We start from the raw sequence: 9,944 nt of genomic DNA, 5'->3' as shown, positions 1-9,944 counted from the left end.
TGTGCATCCTCAGCCACCTACTTGGTGGCTACAGATGAGTGCCACAGCAGAAGACAGCCAGAACAAAACTGGTTTCTACCTACTCCAGAAGGTGTTCTCCATCTCCCCATCTCAGTGGAGGCCAGCACCATGCCTTGCGCAGCCCCAAGCCTGGGCACTACCTTCACCTCCTTCTCCCTTCCTCCCACGGCAAATCCTGACACTTCTGCCTTCAAGACAGCTATGGAATCTGCCCCCTTCTTCTTCTCCACCACCACTCAAAGTCACCACCATCTCTAAACTACTTTGGCCCGTCACTGGTCTCCTGGTCCCATTCCTGCCCCCCAGCCACCCTCCCTGCTTTTTTTTTTTGAGAGGGAGTCTTGCTCTTGTCACCCAGCCTGGAGTGCAATGGCGTGGTCTCTGCTCACCGCAACCTCCGCCTCATGGGTTCAAGCAATTCTCCTGCGTCAGCCTCCCAAGTAGCTGGGATTACAGATGTGCACCACCATGCCGGGCTAATTTTTGTATTTTTAGTAGAGATGGGGTTTCACCATGTTGGCCAGGCTGGTCTCGAACTCCCGACCTCATGATCTGCCCTCCTCCGCCTCCCAAAGTGCTGGGATTACAGGCGTGAGCCACCATGCCTGGCCTCCGGCCCCCTTAAATCTGTGTGCTACGCATAATTTTCAAAGACAAACCAGACCCAGAACCTCCTGCCTGGCCCTCTGAGGGCTTCCCATTGTTCTTGGAATAATTCCCCAAGAGACTACCAGGCTACATGACCTGGTCCCAGCCTGTCTCTTCATCTGAAACGCCTCTCCCCGCTCATCAGATGCACTGCACTCTTTCTGTTCCTCAAATGAACTAATGCCTTCCTGCTTTTATGAATGACATCATCTTCTTTGCCACCTAAACGTAAAAGCTCAGTGGCACCTTGGTCCCACCCCTACCATACACAGTCTGGCCCGTGGTGTGTGGCCTTCTCCTGACCTCCACAGCCCCCAGCAGGCCTTGCCTCTCCAGCTTGACTTTCCACAGCCTCTTGACTGGGCTGCCTGACTCCAGCTGTGACCTGACCCCAGCCCCAGATGGACTCTTGACCCTAAGTCCAACACCAGCCTTCAGTAGTGTGGCCTCTAACACTTGACTCCTGCACAGACCGACTGAGCCCCACCAGAGACCAACTCCTCCAGAGATCAACCCCACCAGAGACCAACCCCACCAGAGACCAGCCCCACCAGAGACCAAACCCCACCAGAGACCAACCCCACCAGAGACAGACCAACCCCACCAGAGACCAGCCCTACCAGAGACCAACCCCACCAGAGCCCAACCCCACCAGAGACCAACCCCACTAGAGACCAACCCCACCAGAGACCAAACCCCACCAAAGACAGACCAACCGCACTAGAGACAGACCAACCGCACCAGAGACCAGCGCCAGCAGAGCCCAACCCCACCAGAGCCCAACCCCACCAGAGACCAGCCCCGAGACAGACCAACCCCACCAGAGACCAAACCCCACCAGAGACCAACCCCACCAGAGACAGACCAACCCCACCAGAGACAGACCAACCCCACCAGAGACCAACCACACCAGAGACCAGCCCCACCAGAGACCAAACCCCACCAGACGAGACCAACCCCACCAGAGACAGACCAAACCCACCAGAGACAGACCAACCCCACCAGAGACCAGCCCCACCAGAAACCAGCCCCACCAGAGACCAGGACTTAGCCCTTGCCAGGTGTCTCCCAATATCTCTAGGTCCCAGCTTCTAGTCCAGATCAGTGCCTGGCCCATAACCGGCACTTAACAAATATTTGTGGAGTGAATGGATTTTCAAGGGAGGACTCAGTCCCCGTCAGCCGCACTACAGCCATCACAGGTCCAAAGGCTGCACTACTTAGCCACCTGCCAGATGGTATTTGCCCTGGGAGAAGAGTGGGAAGTCCCCGATCTTGAATTGGTTGTAGAACATATGACCCTGGGCAAATTATAACCCTCTCCTGAGCTCCACTGACCCTTCAATAAGACGGTTGTGAGCAGAGCCACTCAGCTCTCTCTCCTGGAAGCCCTGTAACCACAGTCAGGGCCTTTTGTTTCTAAGCATTTCCTTGTCCAGTGTCCCCCCGTGACCTTCACAGCAGCCCATGAGGCACGGGGATGATCTGCCCATCTTGTACAGATCCCCCACGCAGCAGCCCTAGCCACCCTTTCACAGCAAGAGTCAGGAGGCGACTCCTCTGCTCAGAGCCTTCCCACGGCTCCCGGCTTCACTCGGCATAAAGCCAAAGTCCAGTGGGTGGCTGCAGGATCTGGCTGCACACCTCGTGACCTCCCGTCTGTCCCTCCCTCTCCCTTTTCCTCTCAGTCGCTCCACCCCAGCAATGCTGGCCTCCTTGTGGTTCGTCAACCAGGCCGGACACATTCCCACCATGGGACCTCTGCTCTGGCTGTGATTTCTGCCCGGTTGTGGGCTTGGTGAACTTCCTCCCCTCCTTCAGGCCTATGCTCAAATCTCACCTTGTCAATGAGGCCCATCCCAACACCCTATCAAAGACTACAACCTGCCCCCAACCCTGCATCTCCAGAAACAACTTTCCTTTCCTCCATAGCACTTACCACTCTCTAACAAAAGTATAATTTACTGACCTGTCTCCTGCCCCTGGAATGTAAACTCCATACGGATGGGGATACTTGTCTGCCTTGTTCATCCATGTATCCCAAGCTCCTAGAACAGTGCCTGGCATAAAGTATTCAATAAATAACTGCTGAACAAGTGAGAGAAGGGATGATGTATACTTGCCTGGGGCACATATGGAAGGTATAGGACTAGAGCCCAGGCCTGCTCCCTCCACACAAACAGCCCCCTTTCCAGCCCCTTATTCGTGGCCAAGGTGTACTGGGGTCCAAGAGGCCCCACACAAGATGGGTGGGCTGGGCCATGTGGGCTGGTGGGCAGGGCTGGGTGCACACTGCCTGCCTGCTTCTTGAGGCAGCTCATCAGGGACTCAGGGACCAAGAAGGAGAATGGGGAAGGGGAGGTCTCAGGAGACTCCACCTGCCCGGCTCACCCAGGGTGAACTGGTAGGAACTCACACCTCTGGGGCCTGGAGTGTCCAGACCAAAAGAGGGCAGGCATCTTAGAGAGTCACTCAGACTAGCTCAGGGGTGACACCAGGGATGAGACTCCCGAGATGAGACCCCCAGGAAAGTCCAGAGAGGGAGGATGAGGCTCCCTCTGGCTCTGTTGAGCAGCTCCAAATCTCTGAACATGCACAGGGTCCCAGATTCAGAATGAACAGGTTTATGGAAAAGAACATATTGCTGAACTCTCTGACATGTATTGCACGCTGTCTCTATGCCAGCCATGTGTGTATTACTTCACTCAATCCTTTCGCAACCCAATGAGATGGGTTCTATTAGCATGCCCATTTTACAGGTGAGGAAACTGAGGCACAAAGGATTTAAGTAACTTGCTAAAAATCATACATCTGGTAAGTGGTTTGACTTAGAATTTTTTTCCTATGAAAATAGAAAACTGGCAGAGTCTCATGTCTGTAATCCCAGCACTTTGGGAGGCTGAGGTGGGCGGATCACTTGAGGTCAAGAGTTCAAGACCAGCCTGGCCAACATGGTGAAACTCCATCTCTATGGAAAAAAAAAAATTATCCAGGCATGGTGGTGGGCACCTATAATCCCAGATACTTGGGAGGCTGAGGCAATAGAATCACTTGAACCCGGGAGGCGGAGGTTGCAGTGAGCCAAGATCACGCCACTGCACTCCAGCCTGGGTGACAGAGCAAGACTCCATAAAACAAAACAAAAACAAAACAAAACAAAACAAAAAAACACAAAACTGAAAAACAAAATAGAAAACTTCTCATAAAGTACTGAGACATTTTGATGAGGATTAAAACACACATTATGGGCCAGGCATGGGGGACCATAATGTAATCCCAGCATGTTGGGAGGCTGAGATGGGCAGATCACCTGAGGTCAGGAGTTCAAGACCAGCCTGACCAACATGGAGAAACCCATCTCTACTAAAAATACAAAATTAGCTGGGCGGGGGCGGCGCATGCCTGTAATCCCAGCTACAGGCTGGGAGGCTGAGGCAGGAGAATCGCTTGAACCCAGGAGGCAGAGGTTGCGGCGAGCCGAGATCGCGCCATTGCACTCCAGCCTGGGCAACAAGAGCGAAACTCTCTCTCAAAAAAAAAAAACCACACACACATTATGTGCCTATGCTGTAAAAGAGCCCATTGTCCCCCAGTTGTCAATATAACCACAATGGGAATGAACAATGTCTTCTTGGCAGTGAGGACAATTCCTGTACAAAGGAAACTGAGTTTGTACATAATTGACTTAAAATTTTTTCTAACCATTTATTAAGAAAAAATTTAACATACAGAAAAATTGATCAGATACCCACCACTTAGCTTCAACTACTATCAATTTCACTTCTCTCTCTGTGTTTTATTTTATTATTTTGTTTTATTTTTTTTTTTGGAGACAGGGTCTTCTCCTGTCACCAAGGCTGAATGAAATGCAGTGGCACAACACAGCTCACTGCAGCCTCAATCTCCTGGGCTAAGTGATCCTCCCACCTCAGCCTCCCAAGTAGCTGGGACCACAGGTACATGCCACCATGCCCGGTGAATTTTTTATTTTCATTTTTTCTTTTTTCTTTCTTTTTTTTTTTTTTTTTTTAACATTTTTTGTAGAGATGGGGTCTTTCCATGTTGCCCAGGCTTGTCTTGAACTCCTAGGCTCAAGGGATCCTCCCATCTTAGCCTTCCAAAGGGTTGTAACTACAGATGTGAGCCACTGTGTCTGACCTCTTACTTTTAATTTTATTTATTATTATTTTTTGAGACACGGTCTCACTTTGTCACCCAGGCTGGAGTGCAGTGGCATGATCTTGGCTCACTGCAGCCTTGACTTCCTGGGATCAAGCAATTCTTCTGCCTCAGTTCCCCAAGGAGCTGGGACTACAGGCACGTGCTACCACATCTGGCTTATTTTTTGTAGAGATGATGTTTCACCATGTGGCGCAGGCTGGTCTCAAGCTCCTGAGCTCAAGTGATCTGCCTGCCTTGATCTCCCAAAGTGCTAGAATTACAGCATGAACCACCATGCCTAGGTCTTTATTTTTAGTTTTTTGAAACAGGGTCTCTGTTACCCAGGCTGGAGTGCAGTAGTGTGATCACGGCTCACTGCAGCCTCCATCTCCTGGGCTCAAGCCATCCTCCCATCTCAGCCTCTTGAGTAGCTGGGACTACAGTTGTTTGCCACCAGGCCTAGATAATAAAAAAAAAATTTTGTGGAGATGGAGTCTCACTATGTTGCCCAGGCTGGTCTTGAACTCCTAGGCTCAAGCAATCCTTCTGCCTTGGGCTCCCCATGTGCTGGGATTACAAATGTGAGCCACTGCATCTGGCCTTTATTTCTATTTTTGAGAGAGAGTTTTGCTCTGTCACCCAGGCTGGAGTGCCATGGCATGAACACAGCTCACTGCAACCTCGAACTCCTGGGCTCCAGCGATCCTCCTGCCTCAGCCTCCTGAGTAGCTAGGACTACAGGCACGCACTACTATGCCTGGCTAATTAAAAAAAAAAATTTAAGAGGCAAGGTCTCTCTATATTGCCTAGACTAGTCTTAAACTCCTGGCCTCAAGCTGCCTTCCCAAGCAATCCTCCCACCTCAGCTTCCGAAAGTGTTGAAATTACAGGTATGAGCCACCACACCCGGCCACTCTCTCTCTCTTCTCTAAACAATGTGAAAATAAGTTCAAACATCATGTCATGTTACCTCCAAGTACTTCAGCCTCATCTCCTAAAAAAATTCTCCTACCAGACTAAAACTTCATTATCATACCTAAGAAGATCAATAACAATTTCCAAATGTCCATCTGATATTCAAATTTCCCTGCTTTTAAAAAAATCTTTACGGCCGGGCGCGGCGGCTCAAGCCTGTAGTCCCAGCACTTTGGGAGGCCGAGGCGGGCGGATCATGAGGTCAGGAGATCGAGACCATCCTGGCTAACACGGTGAAACCCTGTGTCTACTAAAAATACAAAAATTAGCCGGGCGTAGTGGCGGGCGCCTGTAGTCCCAGCTGCTCGGGAGGCTGAGGCAGGAGAATGGCGTGAACCTGGGAGGCGGAGCTTGCAGTGAGCTGAGATTGCGCCACTGCACTCCAGCCTGGGCGACAGAGCCAGACTCCGTCTCAAAAAAAAAAAAAAAATCTTTTATACTTGTTTTTTTCAAATCGTACATCTTACAAAGATTTACAAATTGCATTTGGTTTATTGTTTTTTAAATCCTTTAAAATACAGATCCCCATGTATCTACACACATACACCTTTTTTTGTGACATTGATTCTTTGGAGAATGCAGGTGTTATCTTTTTTTTTTGGAGACGGAGTCTCGCTCTGTCACCGAGGCTGGAGTGCAGTGGCGCGATCTCGGCTCACTGCAACCTCACCTCTCGGGTTCAAGCAACTCTCCTGCCTCAGTCTCCTGAGTAGCTGGGACTACAGGTGCACACTGCCATGCCCGGCTAATTTTTTGTATTTTAGTAGGGACGGGGTTTCACTGTGTTGCCCAGGCTGGTCTCGAACTCCTGAGCTCAGGCAATCCGCCCACCTCGGCCTCCCAAAGTGCTAGGATTACAGGCGTGAGCCGCCGTGCCTGGCAGCAGGTGTTATCTTATAGGCTGTCCCTGGATATATCTGATTGTTTCTTCATGGTGTTATTTAACTTGTTCTTCTACCCCCTGTATTGACTCTAAACTGGAGTTTAGGTCCAAAGCCAGATTCAGGCTGGGCGTTGTGGCTCACGTCGGCAATCCCAGAACTTTGGGAGGTCAAGGTGGTAGGATCATGAGGTCAACAGTTTGAGACCAGCCCGGGCAACATGGCGAGACCCTGTCTCTATTAAAAATACCCACCACCCCCCCAAAAAAAAAGCCAGGTGTGGCTCTGCATGCCTGTGCTCCCAGCTACTTGGGAGGCTGAGGTGGGAGGATTGCTTGAGCCAGGGAGGCAAGGAGGTTGCAGTAAGCCAAGATTACCCCACTGCACTTCAGCCTGGGTGACAGAGTGAGACTCTGTCTCAGAAAAAAAAAAAAAAGGCAGATTCAGGTTAACAATCTTTAGTAAAGATACTGCCCAGCTCATGCTGAGTATTATTATTATTATATCCCATCCAGAGACACATGTCAGATTGTTCCACTATTGATGATGCTAAATTTGATCACTTGTCTGAGGTGGTGACAGCAAGACTGCACCATTTTTTACTACTGTAAAACACCTCTCCCCTTTGGCAACCAGCAAGAGGCTTCAGGTGGACTCTTTGGCATGTGACTGTTCTGTCCTCCCCCAGCCTTTCATCCCAGGGTTCTGACTCCCTGGATAATCCTGTCAATTATTATACGATCAATTATTGATCAATTATTTTACGAAGGGTTACAACAAGATGATTTTCTATTTCTGTCTTTTCTTCTGCAGAAATGCAAGAAGCTTGCACTCTTCTGTAAAGAAGAGTTTTTTTCTCATCAACTGGGATTGAACTACAGCTCCTTCTAAAGAGGCAGGACAAATTATTATTACTATTATTATTATTATTTTGAGATAGGGTCTCTTGCTCGGTTGCCTAGTCTGGAGTGTGATGATGCAATCACAGCTCACTGCAGCCTCAACCTCCTGGGCTCAAGCCATCCTCCCACCTTAACCTCCCAAGTAGCTGGCACTACATGTGTACACCACCACGCTTTTGCTAATTTTTAAATTTTTTGTAGAGACAGGGTTCTTATGTTGCCCAGGCTGGTCTTGAACTCCTGGGCTCAAGCAATCCTCTCGCCTCAGCCTCCTGAAGTGCTGGAATTACAGGTATGAACCACCAGGCCTGGCCAAATTATTCTTATTGAGGCTGGCATTGTTCCGTATCTGGCTGGCGGTGCCCCTTCAAGTTGGCTCCTGGGTCCTTCTTTCAAGCCCCAGGAGTCTTTGAGAACTTCTTGGCTTTCTGGAAAGAAAAAAACAGAGATGTCTCAGCATCACCTGCATTCCCCCATCTCCAGCCCTGAAACCAGCCATTTGGAAGCTGGGATGTGGCCCCAGGCAGTCTGCCTCAAGTTCTTTTGTTTTTCACACTCATGCAAACTGCAGAACAGTTCCAGTTCTGGGGACCTTGCTGTGTGACCTTGGGCCAGTTCCTTTCCCCTCTCTAAGTCATACTTTCTCTGTATGAAACTCTGTGGAGCTGGGTTCCACCTTACTCCATCTCCCCATCAGGGTGTGGCATCCAAGCTCCACTGCTTCCTGTTACTCTGTCTCCCTCCTCCTGTGGTCAGGGGTAGGTGGGACAAGGCTCCTTCCCTGGGCGGTGGAGCCTGTGTGACAAGTGAGAAACTGGGACTTCTTACCCTGTAAGGAAAGATGCAGGGAGCCATTGTCCACGCCCTCTGGGAAACTCAGTCTTGGGACCCTCCCTCTTGGCTGGCATCAGTCTCTAACCTCCAAGGGCACGGGCAGGATGACCGTGGGATTTCCCTCAGCTGTGTCCTGAAACTGCTGCACAGAGAAAAGAGTTCGGACTGCCATTCTATCACCATTGGTTTAGAATCTAGTGACTGTGATGCATTATTCCCTTTATTTTAAATTTAGGCTGGGCGCGGTGGCTCACGCCTATAATCGCAGCACTTTGAGAGGCCGAGGTGGGCAGGTCATTTGAGGTCAGGAGTTGGAGACCAGCCTGACCAACATCGTGAAACCCCGTCTCTATGAAAATACAAAAATTAGCCGGGCATGGTGGTAGGCACCTGTAATCCCACCTACTCAGGAGGCTGAGGCAAGAGAATCGCTTGAACTCAGGAGGCAGAGGTTGCAGGGAGCTGAGATCACGCCACTGCACTCCAGCCTGGTGACACAGTGAGACTCCGTCACACACACACACACACACACACACACACACACACACCCCAAAACAAAAAAAACTATAAATTTAGTTTTACCTTGTATTGAAGTTGTAAATTCACATAGTCTAAAGAATCAGGCCGGGTGCAGTAGCTCACGCCTGTAATCCCAGCACATTGGGAGGCTGAGGCGGGCAGATCACCTGAGGTCAGGAGTTCAAGACCAGCCTGGTCAACATGGTGAAACCCTGTCTCTATTATAAACACAAAAAAATTAGCCTGGCATGGTAGCACGAGCCTGTAGTCCCAGCTACTAAGGAGGCTGAGGCAGGAGAATCACTTCAACCCAGGAGGCAGAGGCTGCAGTGAGCCGAGATCGCTCCACTGCACTCCAGCCTGCGCTATAGAGTGAGACTCCGCCTCAAACAAGCAAACAAGAATCAAATAGTTCTACAAGATTTGCTGTAAAATGAGTAGCAGATCTTCACCATCCTCTTTACATCAGTTTCAAACTTAAAAAAAATTTTTTTTTCCATCTCCGTCCCCAAACCGCCTACCCAATTTAAAACTTTTTCAGCTGGGCATGGTTGCTCACGCCTGTAATCCCAGCACTTTGGGAGGCCAAGGCAGGTGGATCATCTGAAGTCAGGAGTTTGAGACCAGCCTGGCCAACATTGTGAAACCCCATCTCTACTAAAAAAAAAAATACAAAACTTCGCCAGTGGTGGTGGTGGGTGCCTGTAATCCCAGCTACTTGGGAGGCTGAGGCAGGAGAATCACCTGAACATGGGAGGCAGAGGTTGCAGTGAGCTGAGATTGCGCCACTGTATTCCAGCCTTGGGTACAGAGCAAGACTCCATCTCAAAAAAAGAAAGAAAGAGAGAGAGAAAAAAAGAAAGAACTCTAAAGTCATTCTGATTCCTAATCTTCTGATTCCTAATCCTTTGTATCTGTCTTGATTTTTCCTTTCTGGAAATTTGCAGAATCTTCTCTTTGTTCTTATTTTGCTGAAACTTCACAACAGCATCCCTTGCTGTGA

At 49.7% G+C, this 9,944-nt stretch overlaps 1 long non-coding RNA gene across 1 annotated transcript, besides 4 other annotated features; it reads right to left on the bottom strand.

Moving 5' to 3' along the window:
* Window positions 726-775: an enhancer, noted in NCBI's record as "active region_23416". NCBI's record gives its function as "activates an Ori minimal core promoter by ATAC-STARR-seq in GM12878 lymphoblastoid cells {active_cell/tissue: GM12878}" and the evidence as "EXISTENCE:reporter gene assay evidence [ECO:0000049][PMID:35858748]".
* Window positions 1,116-1,165: an enhancer, noted in NCBI's record as "active region_23415". NCBI's record gives its function as "activates an Ori minimal core promoter by ATAC-STARR-seq in GM12878 lymphoblastoid cells {active_cell/tissue: GM12878}" and the evidence as "EXISTENCE:reporter gene assay evidence [ECO:0000049][PMID:35858748]".
* Window positions 1,804-2,303: an enhancer, noted in NCBI's record as "H3K4me1 hESC enhancer chr5:149807883-149808382 (GRCh37/hg19 assembly coordinates)". NCBI's record gives its function as "activates a minimal SCP1, AML or CMV promoter by ChIP-STARR-seq in primed H9 embryonic stem cells {active_cell/tissue: H9 hESC(primed)}" and the evidence as "EXISTENCE:reporter gene assay evidence [ECO:0000049][PMID:30033119]".
* Window positions 2,304-2,805: an enhancer, noted in NCBI's record as "H3K4me1 hESC enhancer chr5:149807381-149807882 (GRCh37/hg19 assembly coordinates)". NCBI's record gives its function as "activates a minimal SCP1, AML or CMV promoter by ChIP-STARR-seq in primed H9 embryonic stem cells {active_cell/tissue: H9 hESC(primed)}" and the evidence as "EXISTENCE:reporter gene assay evidence [ECO:0000049][PMID:30033119]".
* LOC124901106 (uncharacterized) lies at window positions 6,278-8,564 on the bottom strand. Its single transcript, XR_007058994.1, has 2 exons — window positions 8,417-8,564; window positions 6,278-8,016 (listed from the first exon to the last, which is right to left on the bottom strand). It is a non-coding gene; the product is annotated as an uncharacterized LOC124901106 (long non-coding RNA).
* Window positions 8,565-9,944: the final 1,380 nt, after the last annotated feature.

This window comes from Homo sapiens, chromosome 5, assembly GCF_000001405.40.
Source record: "Homo sapiens chromosome 5, GRCh38.p14 Primary Assembly".
NCBI classification, from domain to species: Eukaryota; Metazoa; Chordata; class Mammalia; order Primates; family Hominidae; genus Homo; species Homo sapiens.
This window is presented reverse-complemented; position numbering and strand designations above follow the sequence as displayed.